General features: G+C 42.1%; 1 protein-coding gene across 1 annotated transcript in view; it reads left to right on the top strand.

Moving 5' to 3' along the window:
- The window catches only part of SPOCK1 (SPARC (osteonectin), cwcv and kazal like domains proteoglycan 1), a 524,029-nt gene that overhangs the window by 216,860 nt on the left and 286,583 nt on the right, over window positions 1-20,586 (top strand). Inside the window, exon 3 of the mRNA NM_004598.4 lies at window positions 15,412-15,457. Within this exon, the coding sequence (NP_004589.1) occupies window positions 15,412-15,457 (46 nt within the window). The remainder of the gene's footprint in view (window positions 1-15,411; window positions 15,458-20,586) is intronic.

The following is a 20,586-nucleotide window of genomic DNA, read 5'->3' as shown; positions in this document are numbered from 1 at the left end:
CAGCTGGATGGACTGCAGTGGCAGTCAACAGATAATGAGAAATCCATCACACATGCGTGTTTGCTTGCAGCTCTGAGCTGCATACCTTAAGCTGTGAGTAATGTGATTACTTAAGTGGCATTTTATTTACACTTTTGCACAGAGCAGCGGCTGCCGCTTTTCCAATGCAGCTATCACCCAGATTTGATTTTTAAAAATCTCCTCAGAGTCAGAATGGCAGCATCACAAATATACTAATCCAGAGGAAAGTAGCGGTATATTTTTAAAACTCTGTTATCAGCGTAAGGCAGAGGATATACTGGGGTCAACTACAAAATATAGTTACCATTTCTTGGTGCATCCTATGCGCTGGGTGTTTGGCATGTAAGTCTCAAATAATCCTCCCGTTAACCCGATAGAGTAGGCACCATTGCCCTCATTTTCAGATGAGGAAACTGAAGCCTAGGAAGGTTAAATGCTTGTCCAGAGTCACTTAGGCAATGGCAATAGAAACATCAAGAAAAGTTACCAGTTAAAAAACTGCCATAGCTGTTCATATATTTCATGTTTTAGACCAGGAAACAGAACCGTTAATTTTAGCTCCAAGCTGGGCTAAGAGCTGAGTTTTGTGAAGAGAGGTGTGAGAAACGGACATCCGAGGCTGTGATGGGCAGCTCGACAATAACCCACACGGTATTGTTCCCAAATAATTCCAGCAGGCAGCCCTGACAGGGTGCCTTCAGTTCTAGCTGTGACTTGTGTGTCTCGCTGGTAAATTAGATGAGATAGCTGAGCCCCGAATGCTTGAACAAATCGAGCCACAATTTGGATCTTTTGCAGGAGCTGTCACCGCCTTGTGGGTAAACGTGATTTCTGGGGCTTTCTCCTGCATATTTCTGGCATGGGCCATGGGCTATGTGTTGGTGGGTGAGCTGAGGGTCACTCCTTGCTTATTTCAGATCTTTCATTTCTTAATAGGGTACAGAAATGCCAGGACAAAAGAAATAAATGAATGGGTGACACTATTTGCCATCCCAGAAACAGGCTAATTATAAGGGTTTGTGGTTCCATTCAGCTGCCTGGAAACATTCCTGGACTTTAGCCATGATCATGGCCCAAGAAGCTCTTCATTTTTACTTCTCATGTCTGGGATGTAGATACTTTTCTCAGAGTCTATGCCACTGGTGTACGTGGACCTTATACTGTAGATTTTAGTGCTATGTGAATTCATGTAAAAATGATTTTACTTTTCTGGGCTGTAGTTTCCCAGATTATAATGTTAGGGTGATGCTGTCTTCCTTATACCTACCCCAGAGGGCTTTAAATGAATGAGTCAATGATTGAATGAATAAATAAATGAATGAATATATAGATAATATATGAATTTAAGAAGTAATCCATGTTTTTTTTTTAATTGAAAAGTAGTAAAGTAGAAACAGGAAGAAACCCTTCATATTCCCATAACTATCTTTACCATTTTGATTTTTCTCTAATCCTTTTCTGTATTCCCTTCTCTTCTTCTTACAGTGGGTCATGGGCACTATGTAAGGATGGTTGAGGCTTCCAGCACATTGGTGGAGGTGTCTGTCCTTCCTTTGCAGGCCTCTGAGCGCTGGGAGGAGGGGATTGGTGCACCGGGGCTGTGTTTACAAGGTGGATGAAGTAATCACTGTGGCATCTTTAGTCTTCTTTCATATTGTTTTTCTGTTTTCTTCTCATGTCTTCCTATGTAACTTTCCCCTAGAGTCTTCGACTTGCAAGAGAATGTAATTTTGCCAAAGGATTTGGTCTTGGTAATTTGTTCAAGAGATTCTGTTTTAGTAGTTCTGGGCATCATGAGAAAAATCCAACTGGAATCTTTCTTTAATATTCATAAGTTATTTAACAGGAAAGGGATTTTTAAAGATCTAGGACATAATTACTGTTTGTGTTCATGTTAGGTCCTTAAAATTTGGAAGCAAAAATAAAAAGAAAAGCAAAAGCAGCTTATTGCTTTAGTCTGCCTTGTATTCTTTCAGTGCATTCCAGTCCTTGCTAGTCTGAAAATTGCTCCTACTTTATTTACACAGAGCTTTTAGGCATATTTGATTTATCATTTGACATGTTTAGAATCATACAATGTTAGGACTGGAAGGGACTTGCAATGTTATTAACATTCCTATTGTTTCCCCAAATAATAAATGAAAACATAGAAGTATTATATGATTTCTGTCAGCTGGGTGCTCCTTACAAGAAATAAATATGTCCTTATTGATGTGTATTTTTTTTATCATATAAATGATCTTACCTGATAATTTTACCCTGGAGAGTTTTTATTTTAAAAGATGGGACTTAGGAACCCTGGTTGTTCCTCTTCCGCTTCTCTAGTCCCCTGCAAACTAGAGTGTGACCTTTCAAAGGCCGAGTGAGAGCCAGAGGCCATGAATCATGATCACTGGCTGTGCGGGGGACCTCCAGGGTCCTGGTTTCATGGGCACATGGCATGGCCCTATGAGCTCACCTTCAGAGGGAAAGATGTTTACTTATTTAACAAAGGAAAGGTACAGCAAGCTCTCAGCATGTCTCTTTAGGAGGGAAAGAGGGCAGGCAGAAGACTAGTTGGTTTTAATTATGCTTCATAATGATTCACACATGTCCATAACAGGTGGCATGGCAAAACTTGCTGCTGGATTGGAAGGGCCAGGGTGTGAGCTTGCTTCTTGTCCCTTGGGTGGCATAGATACAGTGTCATGGCTTAGCCTTCCAGCTAAAGTGGAGGGATTGTAATTGTCATATGCATTATCTCCGGCAGCCAGCTGCAGTAGCTACAGAGTTTCCTAGTCACAGAGCAAAGGGCAGACTGAGAGGTGCAGGAGACACTGAGTAGAGCTGCCAGCATCTCCCATTGTCTCTTCTCTGTTGTTGCACCTGGGCTCATGCTTCACGGCCTTTTGTCATAGATTAAAGCTGCTGCGGCAAAGACTGCATGATCGTGCACCTGCCAGATCCCCTGAATGCAATGTCCTCTCTCGCTCCACTGTGTGTCCATCCTCTGGAAAACTGTCCTTCAAGAACTAGCTTCAGTGGTACTTCCTCAGTAGAATCTTCCCTGGTTCTATGGAATAATTTGTGACTTCTTCCTCTGTGTACCCATAGCTAATTTTTCTAAGTGATAGTTACCAGGTCATGTTATGCTTAATCTGGTTACCTTTCTTGTTACTTCTCCTCTGGCTAGACCATGGGTTTCAAGAGGGTAAGGGTAGTTGTTAGTCTTCGCTGGTGTCCTTGGTTTCAGTTGGGCTCCATCTAATTTGTCCCACACAGAGAGAGTGCAGTATGCTTTAGAAAATACCAGTTTGGTGGAGTCACCCTCCAAATAAGCCCTCCAGGGGCTCCCCAGTGCTTATAGGTTAGATCTGGATGTGTCATCGGGCATTGAGGTCCTAGAGCCTTTGATCTCCATTTCTTTCCTAGTCTTAGCCTCACTCTGTCTCTGTGGGTGCCCAGGCCCTAAATAAGCGGGACCAGATAATAGCATTCCCCCTGGGGGGAAGTAGGACAGCCAGTTGTTCATGGCATAGACTAGTACATTGGTCCTCAATAGTGGGGTTAGGACTACTATCTGGGGACTCATGTGCATTGCTCTTGTTCTAAAGACAATTCTCTTGTAGGTTCTCTGGACCATCCGTCTTGTCCACATGACATCAGTACGTCATCTCTCTGTCCAAGGGGTCAGCTGAGCAAGTTATGAAGAGTGGAGCCTGGCTGAAGTGCCTCGTGGTCATTTGTTTCTATCAGGCATCTTTCTGTCAGTGCTGGGGAGGAGAAATTGTGTTACAACAATTACAGAGTTGCGTCAGTGCCTGTTGGGTAACAGGCAGGGTAGCTCAGGACTCCTTGACCCCGCAGCCTTTGGGAGTGTGGGTTCTGTGGAGAGCCTTCAGTCAATCTCAGAGGACTGTTCTACCCATGTGGTGGGCCCTGCTGTTAGCAGTGGCTGTTGCTCAGAGAGGGGATGCCCACTCTTCTCCATGGAAGCCTTGTTGGTGATTGTACAGGAAAACTGTGGCTCAGGAATGTGGGTCCATTTGTGGTAGGCTTGCCTACTCTGGTTACCTCTTACCGTGGGGAAAATGTCACTTCCAAAATTGCAAATTTCAAAGGAGAATTATCAGATCAAGACAGCACAGGCTTGGAGTGGACAAAGTCTTGGACTCAATTTATTTCTGGGGCTTTGGTGAGGAGCGTCTGCTGTGTAAGTGGATCCAAAGGCTGGAGCCTCAGGATACAGGGCTGCAAGGTGGCAGCTAGGACAGTCTTAGGGACACAGTGAAAGGAGTTTTATTGCTTTCTTTCCCAGATGTTCCTTGGAAGAGAAGCTGCTGAATGGCAGGGCTAGGAGGAGCCATAGCATCCCTCACTTTGCAGCTAAAGAAAACTTCATGCCAAGCCTGCAGCCATAGTTTTCCAGAGAGATGATTCATGCTAAAGCCACTACATCCTCAGCATGGTGCTTGGATGTTGGTGTTGGATGTTTCACTTTGCACAGGGCCACCAGGAGTGCTGGTGGTAAACAGGTGTGAGTGCTCAGTTCAGGGCACACAAAGGCAGGAGACTCCTGTGCATCTCCTGCCGGCCTGCTCTTGGGGCTGCTCTCTTTGGGGCCAAAGGCCATGATTCTTCCCAGAAAACCATCTTAGTGAGGCTGGGCCTGAGGGTAGGGGTGGATCAGGAATCCAGGGTGTCCTGCCTGCTTTCTTGGGGCAGACACATGACAGATAGACCGGCTGTCCACTTACTTAGAGACCTTGTGAAGCAGGTGTTTTCATCCCCTATTTCACAGATAGGAAAGCTGAGGCTTCAGATATAATGAGAGTCCTGGTAGTGGTAGTGAGAATCTCTTGAGAGGCCCGTCATCTGTGCTGTCACCTCCCATTTCTTGGTATCTCCTGTATCATGGTGCATCTCCACAGGGCAGGCAGCCCCATGCCTTCTCTCCAGGGTCTCTGGTGTTCACATTGATGCCATTGAAGCAGTAGTATGTAGTGGTTACAGCATGATCTTCGAAGTCAGGCAAAAATGGAGTTCAAATCCTGGTTCTGCTTCTCACTAGCTGTGTGAACTTGTATAGTAATTTTATCTCTCTAAGCTTCAATTTCCACAACTATAACACTGAGATGCTTGTCTCAGATGATTATTGCAAAAGTAGCTCATGCCTGTAATCCCAGCACTTTAGGAGGCTGAGGCAGGAGGATCACATGAGGCTAGGAGTTTGAGACCAGCCAGGGCAATATAGCAAGACCCCATCTCTACAAAAAATTTAAAAATTAGCTGGGCATGGTGGTGTACACCTGTAGTCTTAACTACTTGGGAGGATGAGGCAGGAGGATCACTTGAGCTCAGGAGTTCCAGGTTACAGTGACCTACAATTGTGCCACTGCACTTCAGCCTGAGTGATGGCAAGACCCTGTCTATTAAAAAAAAAATGTGGTAGCTGCTATTATTACGATGATTACTATTAATATTACTATTACTTTGATGTTTTGATTTGGGCTTTGATTTGATGCAAGTCCTAAATCTTGTATCAGATTTTGGCTCAGCTGTGGTGTTCCAAATCATGAAGTCCTCTTGGTCCCTGAGGAGACTCAGGGCATTAGTAGATGTGGGGTGGGGCCATTGGGCAGAAATCTACCTGTCCTCCTCCTATGGAGCCTGGTTGATCCCTCTGAGACCTTCCAGTGTCATCCCCATTGGTTTCCAGTTTCCTGTTACTGCCCCAGTTAGTCACTAAAAGGGAGTTATCTATTTCACCTTCCTCAGAAACCTCCAGGTCATAGAACCATCAGTTTTGAGACAAAGGGGAAGAAGTTGTGGAGCTGCAGTCCAAGATACTGGCATAAAAAACCAGCCGAGGTTGGATTGTTATCTTATTCATTCAGTAGATGTTAGAGTACCTGGTGCCAAATGAATGCTGTGCTGAGGTTCGGCAGTGAGGCCACCCAGCCCCTGGCCCTAGGGACTGCCGTCTGTGTGGCTGAGTTGCAGAGGAGTAGCCAGCTTCTACAGTGTGAGCAGTTCAGTGCTCTGTTCAGGCAGCCCAGGGGGCTGCAGATCACACAGCAGGGGTGTCTCGAGTGCAGAGGGACTGGGGACAAGGAAGGCTTTCCACGAGAAGAAGTGTCTAAACTGGGATTTGATAGAGGAGTAAATGTTAACAAAAGAAGGGTAAGGAGGAGTGTTTCAGGCACAGAAGGAATAGCATGGACAGAGTTTTGGGGAACGAAGAGAGCATAGGCTGCTGCAGGATTAAAACGTAGTTCATTGGTGGCTCGACCATGTAAGCTAGTGTGGCCATAAGGTGACTGCAAGGCTCAGCAGGTGCTGGGGCACAGAAGTCCTGTGAGCTGGGCTGATGGGCTTGGCCTTGACCTGGGAGTCCCTCCAGCATTTTAAGCAGGAGGGTGATGTGACCAGAACATCCCTTTAGAAGGTCACTATTGAGGCAGTGTGAACAGCCTGGGCAGGGCTCAGGGGAGGCAGGGAGGCTGGTTAGGGCACGTGGCCATGTTGTGAGGAGAAATTGTGGAGGCCTGACCCAAGGCAGAGGAGAGGGGAGTTGTGAAAGAGACCCAGGAGTGCAAGTGAAGATGACTTCGTTGTTGCCTGAACGGCAGAGGGAAGGAAGAGGGAGGAGTCCAGCCTGTGGCCTGGGTTCTTGCCTCAGCAGCAGGTGGACAGAGGTGCTGTCTAATGAGCTGGAGACTCTTAGAGCAGCAGACCCTGAAAGTGGTAGGTGGATACAACTCTGGAAAGCTCCAGAAGCTGGGGGAGAAGGCCCCTGATGTTCTGTACCTGGTTTGCTCTCCATGGTGGGCCTGGCCTTCCCTCAGTCACCTCAGTCACTGTGATTTAGTGTGTGACTTCCTATGGAGGCTGCACATTAGAATCACCTGGAGAGCTTTTAAAACATCCCAGTGTGGAGGCTACACTCCAGCCACTGAATCAGCACCTCCTGCCCTGGGCCAGGCATCAGAGTTTGAAAAGCCCCACAGCATCCCCAGCCATCAGCCAAGGTGGAAACCACTGCTTCTGCCAATCCCTGTGTTTGGTGAGAGGATAAGTGGGGAGGGATGGTGAGGTGGTAGTTAATAGCTGGTGTTTTATTCTCTACAAGGTAGCATCTGGATGTTCATGGAGGCCTGCCAGCTATGGTGGGGGAAGGGAGCAGGCATTCTCAGAAAGATGGCTGGACCTAATTAATTTGGGATTTGTGATACTCGGACAAGGCTGGGCCTCAGGCCAGTATAATTTGTACTTTCTCTGAAATGAAGGTTTACGTGCTATAAGCTATAAGATGGCAATGGCTTTGTTTGGTGTGCCAAGGAGACATACCCTTTCAGGGTTCCTCCATCTGTTTTCTACATGTAAATTAATGATTACACAGAAATTTTGCCTGTTCAGAGCAGGTTCAGGTCCCTTATCAGGATATAGTTAATCATAATTGAAACTTTAATTAATTTGTTTACAATTACATGATAGGTAATACCTTTCAGTGGTTTAAAATGCCACACTCAATGCACAAATAGGCCCACTGGTGTAAGTATTGTCTTTTTTAATAGATGGGGTCTATTTAATAGAGAGGTGTGACCGAATCTTAGATAGTACGTGTCTGCCCTTTACGCAAAATATGCCTGTAGCTCAAGTTTTCAAATTTCATTGATTTTTTAAAAATCTCTCTTCATACATGAGACTAATAAAACTACATGCATTTAAGTATTTCATAATTATTTTTTCCAGTTGCAATTGGTCTCCCTTCACTTGGGCCTAATTGACAAGATTCAAATATGCAAGAATTGCATTATTGAAATTTAAAACATATCCACAAAGTCTAATGTTTCTCTCAGTGTTCCTGGGACATCCCCCTACTGTAAACCTCAGGAAATGGACATGAAATTGTGTACCTTTTATTTATTAATTCTGTATGCCAGATATCATACCAAGCACTTTGCATCATTATTGCAAGTCATTGCAACCATCCTTCAAGGTAGGTGCAAGTGGTCTTGTTTTATGGATAAAGAAATTGACTCGGAGAAGCTGAGTAGATTGTGCAAGGCCACATAGCTGGTGAGTGCTAGAGCCAGAATTTGAACCCACATCTGCTTCAAAGCCTGCCATGTTTACAGTATCTTCTCTGACTTTAACTCCTTGGTGCTGACCTATTCTTTCCTTCCTAGATATTAAGAAGGCTGCTCTTGGCCAGCTCAATTTGATAATTTTGCTAATAAAGTCAAGGTTGTGGATGGTTTTGAGTCTGAGGAGACAACACATGTCTTGGCCAGAGTACAAATGGAGCATCATATGCCCATTCATATCCCCAGAAGAAAAGCCCAAACACAGGGCATATTTTGGGGAATAAACCTCAGACTCAGTTCTTTCCCTTGGGAAAAGAACAAGCCAGTGGGTTACTTCTCTCCACCCCAGCTTGGATGGACTGACCAGGACAGACAGAAAGTCCCTAAGAAGAGGGAGCTCTTTGTGTTGGTGATGATCCTTGAATCAGCTAGAGGAGCAATGACAATGCTATTCATTTTACATATTTCCTAGGAACATAAATCCATATCTTTCTCAGGTTTGAGGACCCCTCAAGCTATTTTGAAACTGCAAGGCAAAGGAATTTCTTTGCAGAAATGTAGAAGGTATACTACTCTTGGTCTTGGATGTCATCTTGGGGTTTTTACTGAATTTCACCCTTTGGACCAATGTCACAGGCAATTACTCATTTGAAATTCTTGTGGATGGTAATCATGGCTGAGTGTTGGGATTTAATCATGATTTTGCTAGCTGTTCGGCAGCAATGATATAGATCACTAGACCACACTCAGATTTCATCCCACTTCAGTTATTCTACCCCATAACCTCATGTCCTTTCCCATGAACTTAGTGAATTGTTGGGACCTTTTCAAAGGAATGATGGTAGGTGAATTAAGAGAGCATATCTGGATGACCTTTCTAATGTTATGATAATTTGAAAATTTGATGCAATTATCAAAAATGTATACATTTCTTCCTATTGTTTGATGTGATTCTTTTATTTTTTTCTCATTTATAATGCTTTCGTACTCAGGAAGTTGAGGTAGGTTTTTGATTTTTCAACTGTATGTAGACATAGCATTAAAGTAGTTGCCAAATAAAATGTAAATTTCATTCTAAATCTGAAATCTCAGTAGTAAATATTTGTTTTAGTTCAGTGAACCAGTACCACACACATTTATTTTTCATTGGTATATCCAAGGGATGCAATTTATCAAATGCATATAAACAGTCCATTTGCTGCTTTATCTTTTCTCATTAGTTACAGTACAAGTATGATTGTCAGTTATTATCTGTGTTTTACTGGTGGGTTATTTATTGAAAGAGCAGAGCAACTGACATTGTTATTTTCTGAATCATTTTGTCTAAGACCTGGAGGACTTTAAACCAAATGTCAGACCAATTTATCAAAGAATTGCTCTATTCAGGGTGAAGGTGATTTAGAGTGTGTGTATAAACATACAACCACCTGTACTTACACACACTAGTAATAGTTATGGGAATTTCACAGGGATACAGAGATGGAATTGCTTACAAACTGGAATTGCTTACTTATATTTGATGTGATTTAGCAAGGATTTACTGTGTGCTGTTGAGTGATGCCTTAGGGGATGTGCAGGTGAGTAAGACCCATCCCTGCTCAGAAGCGGCCTAGGCCCGTGTGTGTGTTGGGGGGTGGGGGGGTGGGGGTGGGTGATTTGTGCACACAGAAATGTATTAATGCAGACAACTCCCAGGCTCTGTTGTACAGGGTTCTCACGAGTGGTAGCTTTGGATGGAAGGCTGAGAAGCCTCAAGTCACTGCCCAAGCTGGGTCACTTCATTCAGAAGGATTCTCACTGAGGCTCCTCACCAGAGATGGGGAGGAGACAAACAGCAAATTATTTGCCCAGAGATGTGAATGAAAACAGCTCAGAGGTAGGGTAGTTGTGTGTGATGCTAGCTCCTTTCTTAATAAATGGAGTGTTTTGTACCTTATAATAGTTTGATTAGCAGAGATTTCCATTGCACACAAAATTACAGGCAAATGTCACATTATATAACAGAAGCATTTACATAATGGTCTGGAAATCTCACTTTTCTGGTGACTTCTATTATCATTTCGGGGACATTTCTCCCACCCACCAACCAGATCTTCTTCCTATTCCCCCCAGTCAAGTAGTGTGAAGATAAATAGAACCAGTTTGCACTGAATTCTCTTGAGAGCAGTTTGGCTACAGTCCCTTCATTGATCTCTTTCTAAAGGTTGCAGTTTTGGTAAAGTGGAGTGTGCCTCCATCTGGGATCTACAAACTCAGTTCTGATCTACTTAGCCTTGCAGGGAAGTGCTTCTCCATTTTGTGTGTATCTGCAATCAGCCCACAGACAACTCCAAAATGACTACCTGCCCTCCTTTTAATTTGCTTCCTTCAGTTTATGTCTCTATTGCTCCCTCCTGGTCAAGACAAATGAGGCTCCCATTTATTTTCTAGGCTGGTAATTTGTATTAATATTATCTCAGGTAATCATCAGATGAAACGGCAGGGTTCAAACAGCTTAGCTAAAATATGTATGAAGGAGAAACGATCGGTTTCATGAGAACTAAATGTGTTTGATCTGTAGCATCTGAAGCTGATACAATTACATTATCATCTTCATAATTGGGTGCCAAGGCAATTGGGTTTTCATTTGGTTCTGCCACCCCATCTTTTCCTCAGAGTCAGCTTTGACATTCCTTGGAGATTAAATAGGCACCTCTTGAAAGGCAAATCCCTGGTGAATATTTGAGCTAAATTGCATCAGTCATTTTGGGGCTATGGTATAGTAAAAGAAAATTCAGGTTCTTATTCAAAATGGGCTGTTGGCTATGATCATCTGTGATGAAGAGACTTAATCACCCAAATTATAGCAAGAATATTTTGTCATTTCATGTTAAGCAGACTTAATTATTTCATTGGAAGATGCATTATAGAGTGGAGTGGTCTTGGCATATTTATGTGTATGAAAAACATATAGTAATATATAATAAATATATCTTTAATAATATATATTATATATAAAATGTGTATATATGTATATGTAAAACATATTTTCTTTTTCATTGATGCTTATCTGAACAGAATATCTCTAAAGCATTAATAGTTAAATTCCTTTGCACCAGCCATCGAGTGCCAATAATTTCACAGGTTTCAGTACTATCTTAGTGGAATATTTAATAAGTGAGATAAATGGAGAAATATAGTTTTATCTTTGTTGATCAGCTGTAGAAAATAAAACAATAACTGGAGTCTTATTTGCTACCAGTCTCTGTTTCTTCCTCTCCCACTAACACCAACCCTCCTCCTTCATCCTGGACATGGATGGTTTGTCACTTTCTTACCATGATCTTTATGGTGACTTTTTAAAAATTAATTAATTAATTAATTAATTAATTTTGAGACAGAGTCTTGCTCCGTCTTGTCCAGGCTGGAGTGCAATGGTGCGATCTTGGCTCACTGCAGCCTCTGCTTCCCGGGTTCAGGCGACTCTCCTGTCTCAGCCTCTCGGGTAGCTGGGACTACAGGCATGTGCCACCACACCTAGCTACTTTTGTATTGTTAGTAGAGATATGGTTTCACCATGTTGGCCAGGCTGGTCACAAACTCCTGACGTCAGGTGATCCACCCACCTCAGCCTCCCAAAGTGTTGGGATTACAGGTGTGAGCCACTGGGCCTGGCCATGTCAACTTTTCATGAGAGTTCCTGCTGCCTTGGAATACTATGTGATTCTAGACCTAAGTCAGTATGCTTAAGTTTGGGCCTCTGTTTACATTTACAGGGTCTTTCAGGTTTTAACAATCTCTAAAAAAGGGTTGAATAATATTCATTTATGAAATGCTATAGTGAAATGGATTCAGTCTTTCCTCATATGGGTTAGTTAGAATTTACAGCAAGACCGTTCTCTGTCCTGTCCAGAAGATGCCTGACATAATTATATTCTTCAGTGTAACCCATAAAATAGACATGTAGTAACACTGCCATCCTTCATTCCTCAACCTGTGGAATGCATTAATGGGAGCTATTGAACTTAAATGACTATATTTAGATATGCATCTTTCTATTTGGGTTTATGTTTAAAAATTAACTGTTGCTGGGCTCCTTGCAAGTCTTTAAAAAAGCTTTATCATTAGATGATAAAATTGCCACTCAAAAGGCTAACTCAGATAGATATGCCTTGCCTGACAAGTTTGATCTATCCAATATGTCTTTCACCACAGTTTGAATTTTAACAAGCCATAACTTTATTGGGCCAGAGGGAAGGTCAGAGGCAAGGGCTGTTAATGTCCTGCACTTTGTCAGCTTCAGGGCTTAAGTGTGGGGCCCACACAGCACTGGGATCGTGCCGGGGCAGACACACTACTTCCCAGGGTAGAAGTGATAGAATTATTGACAGCATAGCAAGTCATGGGGTCTGTTCATTTCAGGACAATGTAAAATAGATACAATATGTTTTTATTTAGATAGAAAATAAGATTTTTTTTTTTAAAAGCCTGGCTCTGCCACCTGAGTCTTAGGCCCTGGTGAAATGCCCAGCCTTGGTATTGGTAGGGTGTTGGTTCAGGACCACTGACAACTATCCTTATGTCCTTTGAGCACCCCAATCGTTAAGTGGGTCTCAGGGATGAACAAATTTTCAGGAGGTGAAGCTCTAGAGGAGCCATTCTTTTTTCTTTTGTCTTTTATCTTTGGCTTTCTCCACTTGAGTTTTGACTGTGCCTCACCAGAATTCTCCCAGACACAGAGTGACTTAATTGATGCAGCCCAGCCTGCTTATACTCACCGTGTGTGGAAGCCCTTGAACCTAGCTAGGACAGTGTGCAGGAGTGATCACGTATACTCCAGCACTTATTTCCTGACATAGACTGCAGCAGTGGCTGCTAAGAGACCCCTCCCCCATGCTCAGTGACCATCCCCCAAGTGGGCTCTGGTGCCTGGAGTCCTTCACATGTGTTCATGATCTTGGCCCCTGATGTGAGGTTTCCTCTCTCAGCTGCAGCCAAAGCAGTGATACACAAAGGTTTATCAGCTCTGGCTCATTGGTTTTTGCTTTGGCAGTCCACTTTCCTGAGGCAGGGCAAAAGCAATCAGATGCAGAGAATCATTTTTCTTCCCTGCTTGGCCTGGCTGGGCAAGGGGTTGTTTGAAGGACTCATTTTGCATAATGAGTTTTCACTCAAGGTGTACTTTCACATTTTGGCAGCAATTAGGCAGTATTGTTACATTTGCAATGAGCTTTAAATATTCTAATGCAGATAGCTACTTTTGGAGGCCTTATACTTAAAACTGTGATTTTTCCCTAAGAAATAGGTAAAAATGGTAATTATAGTTAACCTGAAAAAGTGGCAAGGTCCAGAAGAATGCTTCAAATTCCATCCAAGTTATAAAATATGTTGAAATCATTAGGGAATATCCAGTTCTTGAGACTTGCTCAAACCTTTCTTTGACATCAAAGAGAATGTGGCCTGTGAAATTAAAGTTAAAGGAACTTGTCTTTGGTTCCAGCCCTTCCCTGTTGGACACACAGCCTGAGCTTCCAAGGGCTTTATTAGAACAGCATGTTCAAGTAGAAAATATTTCACAAGATTTCACATTGCCATTATATGTGATGCCATCCTCTGTATGTGGAGAGAGCATTGATAAACCACAGTTGGAAGGATGAACGGTTGATCCTTTTTTTCTCCACTTGTGAGAATGAGTTCATCTTGGGTTATCTCTTCTGCCCTTGAGAATAGCAGAAAATGTTGGTAACATGGTTGTCTAAGGCTAAGAACACTTTGGTCATCAAACCTAGAAATTGGGTGCTAAATTTCCTATCTGCCATCCAACTTTTAACTTAATATCATTTAACAGTGGCTGCCGAGTTTCTGACAGCACAATTCCAAAAGTTTGGGATTGTATTTAAACTTATAAATGGGGAAAGATATTGCAGAGAGACTGTTTTAAATTTCCTTAGTGATATTTCATGGTAAAGAGCTCAAAGACTCCCTAACCAGATGGGTGAGAAGGCCAGTTATTCTATAAAACTAAAGCTGGAGCAAAGTGGGCAATTCTTTGAAACTAAAAATAATTTAGTGCTGAATCCTCTGGATCCAGAGGAAGCTGTTTATTTCCTAATGCCTTGGAAGATGGAATCACTGGCCAAGAAACAATATGTTCTGATTTTACTCTAAAGCTAGTTTCCTAAAATCTATTTAAGGGCCTAGGTGAACTCAACAAGGATATAATAAAGCTACATAATTGAATGACACTGAGGCTGATAAAATTCACAGGAGATCGTGTCAGAGATAAACTGCATCAGAACACAGCATGGACAATAATTTAAACTAATTGTGCGCTTTGATGTAAATTAGCTTTACCAGAAGAGATATTGAGGCTTCATTTTGGGCAGCTTTCTAAAACTGCAGCATGCAGACTGCCTGCCAAAAACACATATAGCAAAGCAATTGAATATTAACTACAAAGGGACAAATCCTTAAAGATGCTATGAGGATAATGTGCATGGGTGACACCTCTTCAACTTGCAAACTGTTCAGTTTTGCTGATACAGTGGGTGTGCCAGGAAACAATGGGGTCAAAGTGCTGATGGGGAGAATAAAGGGAGTACATGGTGGCTGTTAGGAAGGAAAGGGTTATTAGGAGTGGGGAAGAAGTTAACATAGCTGTGAAGAATTGAGTGATTGAGATCCTTGCAATTTTAAAGTAATGAATTGCCTAGCCTCAGAGCATAAATTGATGCAACCCAAATGCAGGAAAGACATGGTTATGAAGAGACCAGACTGGCCAGCCTTTGTTTTTTCATCTTTCCATACCCAGAACAAATGGTATTAAGCTAAATGTACGCCTTTGGTTAATTCTAACATTTGGAAGGCTGTCTCTTTTTAGGTTTTGTGAGTATTGAAAAACTGGAACTGTGCACCACAAGATGCGTGTCTGTATGTAAAAGAAATGTTGACAGTTGAATTATCAGCTGTTACAAACACAGAGGCTTAATCATAACTGAGAGCAGCAAGGCATCACCTACAGTATAATTGATAGCAAATACACCTTGCACCTAGAAGGTGTCTGGGTTTATATGTCAAACTAAGAAGAGCAGCGCTGTTTCTATACTGGGCTGAAATGTTTTTACTATTCCCAGTATTGAATACATACGGTTTGAAAGACAGGAATTTGAAAAGGAAATTGATATTTTTTTATTACACATTAATGCCTGTTTTGGGAAAAATTTCTAAGCTTTCAGTGTTTTCCTTTGTGTTTTGGGAGGTGAAAAGGAAGGCAGGTTTTTATGCAGTTATGTGAGAAGCTTTTTGAACTCTGACCTTTGTTTTCTATTTTTTCCTTATATAGGATGATTATTTCAGAAACTGGAATCCCAACAAGCCCTTTGACCAAGGTAATGGATGCAATATTTCTTGCTGTATAGTCTGTGGTAAATGTGGTCTCATTTTTCCTTCCTTGCATGCTGAGTTAATGTTCCCACAAGGGCCAGCTAGCGGTGTTATTTTATTGACTTTGGGGACTGAATTGACTGGGGTGATAGAAATTATTTTATCAAATTGGTTATTTGTCTGAGGTTATATCTAGGGCTGATTTAAACAATTTCTTTTAATTGGCTTGACCAATATAATCATTGATTCGTTTTGTTTTAAAAAAAAAGTGAAATTTGATTATCAAATTAACATGGTGAATTGTGGGGCTGAATGCAGTGCTTTCATTCATGGAACAGACTATGCCTGGAGATGCTTCCCTAATTCACATGAGCCATAACAATGAAACTTTCTTTCTAGAAAAAGGTTAATCCTGGGAGACTGTCAAGGGTACTGCGATTTTATTTGTTAAATAACTTCTTCATGGTTTCTAAATAGAAGCCTGTTTCAGAGTTAGCTCGATGACTACTTGGGTTTAAGCATGGCCCACAGAAGGCTTTCTCCACCCCCATTCCCCCAGCAAGCATCAAACCAGTCTCTCATGATAGCTGTTGTAAATCACTAACAGTGTCCTCCTGTGAGTTATTTAAGACACAGTGAGGACCTGCCATGAATCACATCCCTTCCCCCGTTGTTCCATGTGTGGTGCTGTTGAAAATGATGGTAGATTGCACTTCATATGTTCATATGGAATTAATGCCAAAACACAATGAAACAGTATTACCTACCACATCTCAAAGTGTTCATTCTTCTGAGAATCAGCTTCAGTTCTGTAATGTGAGTATTCGATGTGATCATGATGGTCAACTTGATACGAAGAAATCGAGGGAGGCATTGACATGTGACATGGAGGAAGGTGCTCCTTTCTGCCCTCTGCTTGGTCAGTTTAATGGGTCACTACCTCTGGACTCTGGTTTTCTCGTAAGCAAAAATGGTATTAAAATTGCCATATATACATTTATCATAGGCTTTGAAGTAGTGTAACAATTTTTTCATTCATGCATGCTAGCATTCTCAAACATTTATTGAGCTTTCGCTGTATGCACAAGCACCAAGCCAGGTACTGGGGATAGAGAAAAATGCTGTGGTGCCTACCCTACAGGAGCTCAGAGTGGGGAGTAGGGAAATAAATCAGTCAATAATTGTGGTGGGATCTGTTAATGGCTGTGATGCAGGTGTGTTCAGGGAAGCATGTGAATCTACAGATGGAGAACTGTATATGTTTTTGTAAAGGGCAAGGTGTCCAGCAAAACCTTCCTTTGGAGGCTCTATCTGGACTATACATATCTTAGCAGCCTTAGAGTGGTAACGGAATTATTCTTCTACAATCCTAACAATGACTGAATCATCACAATGATTCACTCAAAAGCATATGAAGGCATTTGTAACTTAGTTTAGAAATGTTTTATTAAAAGTGATCAAAAATTTTAAAACTTTTTAATAGGATAAAACTTTATCTATGAAGAATACTGGTAGTTAAAGAGCAACAAATTCCCTGTCTGTGCCTGATAAACAAGCCCTTCTGCAAACAACCCTACCAGGCTTTTGCTTGCAAAGGTAACTCAATTGACAGTCACTGTGAACTGATTCTTTTTAGCTAAGAACTAGAAATAGGTTCTTGTGCTATAAGGATCAAATGTTGCCTAAATAACTGTCAAAAATTACTCTTTGCCAAAGCTTGCAAATGAATACACTCTCCCGAGGGAAGACATTTTTACTTTTACTAATGCATATTGGAGAAGGAATACATCAAGGTAGGTGTCATTTGCCACTTGGGATATAAATGATAGCTTCCCTTGGTTTGGGAGTTAACACAGAAATTTTGGGAACCACAAAATCACCGTCTTTAAACCTGAGCAGGTAAACAGTTCAAACGAGGATTTTTCTCTCCTAGGAATGATGGCAGCTATATTCAGCAGAGCCCCATCCTGTTCTCTTTTTCTAGCTCTGCAGGCTTGAAAACTGGGTCTGCTCAGATTAACCCTCCCAGAAAACCTTATGACTTTATGGGATATAATTAAGGACCTTAGCTGAGTATCCCCACTTTGTACCTCAGGGGTAGCTGCCGTTGGCTATTTATATACAGAACCATGAGGAGCACAGGCAGAGCTGAGAATAGCCTTCACTTAAAATATCAGCCCCAGCAGATGTCATCAATTACATTGTGTGCGGCTCAATAAAAATGGGAGGTTACTCTGTCAGCGCTGACACCACTTGGTGAAATATAAACCACAGGCATGGAAGATGTAGAGCGTTTCATCTTCCAGAAACTAGGAGAATTACTGAACTCCAGTGGAAGATGACAGCCAAAGAGAGGAGTCATTTCCTCTCCTCAGCTGAAAAAAGAATCAAACATAGTTAAAATGGGTTTGTGGTTAGGGAAAAGTTTTAGTTTGTAGAAATGGAACTTGTTGAAGAGTGTCTTCAGAGTTTCAGATGACAAATATGGTTTAGGATGGGGATGGAAGGGGCTTCATGATGGAGGTGGGTGTGGAGTAGGCTTGGAATATAGAGGGAGAGGAGGGGAAGGAAGGCCCAGCATAGAGAATTCTGGTAATAGTGTAGTCAGAAAGGTGGATTTGAAATGGGTTGAGGGGACATTCCATACCAATCAGCCAAATTTGAACTTTGTTTTCTTGGCAGTGGGGTGCCATAGAAAGTCTTTGAGCAGGCGAGTGACATGATGAGGGCAGTATTTTAGAGAATTTGGTTTGGTGACAACAGCTATAATTAGGAACCCAAAAACATACTTGCTAAATGATGTCACTCCTCTAGGACTCTTGGGTAACTTCTTCATGGCATCATTCATTGCCTTGGAGCCCTGGGCTCTGGCTGTCACCGGTGGTCAGACTTATCAATTCAGCTCTCCAGCTTGACCTCTGAAATGCCCATGCAGCTTCTGATTGTCGTGTTGGTGTGGTGAATAGTTAGAAGACTCAAAGTATTCAAGAAATAGTTACTTAGCTGTAATTGCTTCTCTGCTTAAAGATATTTACTGAACTTTGAACAACAGGGCTTCATGGAGCGAGTGCTATCATCATGTAATTGACTCTAAGGCAGTTAGAAGAAAAGTATCTCACCTGGTGCTCTCCAATGATGAGACTCAGAATGTCTTTAACTTGTTATCTTTAAGTGAATCTTTAATGTTTCTGTCAGTGGAGTATAATGGCCATCAACTTCAGACTTTTCTAAGAATTCTTCCTGAGATTAGGGTAAAGTGGCATAAGTAGTATATCCTTTTGTCTTGTAATGATTTAATGCCAAATCTCCTCACAGAAAGGATGGACAGGAGTTCAGAATTGAAGGCAATGATTAACTCAGGTGAGAAATTTCGCTTGTGAAGTCCACAAAGAAAGACACTGTGCAGAGAGAGTTGGGCAGACTGCACAGTTTGAGAGAGCCATGGGCCAATGCAAATGGGTTTCTTATCTTGCATAGTCAGGAGAAATGAAGGCCCCCGGATGGACCTTCAGAGGGCTGGCTGAGGCTGCAGAGCTCTGGGGTGATTCCAGAGCTTTTGGTTGCCTCTGCCACTTTGCCTTGCCAGCACCTTCCCTTAACTGGCGCCTGACAAACTCAGGAGCGCATATGAGGTTAGTGCTTCTCAGTGGGGATCTGGGTCAGCAAGATGCTTCCCCAAGAAAACCATTGATGGTCAAATAAGGGACACACATATACCCTCATCTCTTGAAGATTCACATGCTCATTATCAACTTAAAAAACTCTGAGGCGTCTTTCAGTAAAGAAACCCATTTAACCTATCATTTTCCAAATTTGCCTGTGACCATATTTTCAATTTTTTTCCACTACACACCTATCAGATACTCAGAGGAGGTAATGTATTTGGCATGATACACTTTGGTAAGTGCAGTCTGGGGTCTTAGGGTTTGGAGTCAGATTCTCCAAGTTTAGAATTTGACTCTGTCAGTTACTAGCTGTGTGATCCTGGGAAAGTAGCTTAACTTCTCTGATTCTAAATCTTCCTATCTGAAAATGGCAATAATGATAAGTACTTTCAACAATAGCACTGAGAAGATGAAGTGAATTAATATGCCTGGCATATAGGAAGTGCTTGACAAGTGATCAGCAAGTCATTGATTGTTTTCATTCTCTTCCTATTTAGCAGCCTCTCCTGGTGTCTTTCTTCCCATTCCACTCTGGTTTTATTCCCTTCTCCTTTTGTTCCTTTCTGGTGGCCTTCCAAGTTGTGATGCTCTGAAGCTCTCGGAGCTACACTGACACGGGCTTGTCTTAACTAGTGTTGGGGCATCGTACTGGTACACTCCAGATCCCCATTATTGGAGCTGAAGAGGTTCAGGCTCTTAATGTGTTCATTCCTTCCTTCATTCCATAAGCAGTTACCAAATGCCTGATGTTTAAATGCACTGAACTGGATAATAGGGACAACACTAAGGAAGACGTCTCTTGGGGGACACTCCCAGTTATCAGTCCTCAGAGACATCCATCCAAGGTCCTACTGGGGGGTAGGGAAGTGAGTAGAGTTGGTCTGGGTAACAGGGAAATCCTTAATATGTCAAGTGTTTATACAGGTGACAGGTCAGTTTTAGTTGAGGTGATGTTTTTTGCTATGCCTTGGCCTTATGCAGTCTGTGCCTTTGGTATGTGGACCAGGCTCCCTGATGCTGTACAACCAACACTTGCTGGTAACAATTACCTTCAATGCAAATAATAAAGGTATTGTCACAAAGATTGTATCTTTTGCCTTTAAGTGAGATGACTTGATGAGGGTCTGGAGGGGAATGAAAGATAGAATTTATTGAACCACAAAGCTGTTGTAAAAATAAAATAAAGGTAATGCTTTGGGGATTCATTGAATAGGGGATGAATATACAGCAAAGTGAATTCTAACAAGGTGTTTCAAAGCTTCCTGACTAGTTCTTTTAGAAGAAGAAAATGGAAACTTATTTATAGTACTTTTGCTGAACAAAAGGATTTTTTGTGCACTGGAGGGTTTGGAAGGTAATTTATGTATATAACCACTATACTACTTTAGAATAAAATTCTGATTACATGAAGTTGTCTCAAAGTGATGGAACACTAACAGGTTCTCTGCTGGAGCCAGGGTGCACTCAGG

The sequence above is a fragment of the Homo sapiens genome, chromosome 5 (assembly GCF_000001405.40).
Source record: "Homo sapiens chromosome 5, GRCh38.p14 Primary Assembly".
NCBI classification, from domain to species: Eukaryota; Metazoa; Chordata; class Mammalia; order Primates; family Hominidae; genus Homo; species Homo sapiens.
The sequence above is the reverse complement of the archived record's forward strand: the minus strand, read 5'-3'. Positions and strand labels throughout refer to the sequence as shown.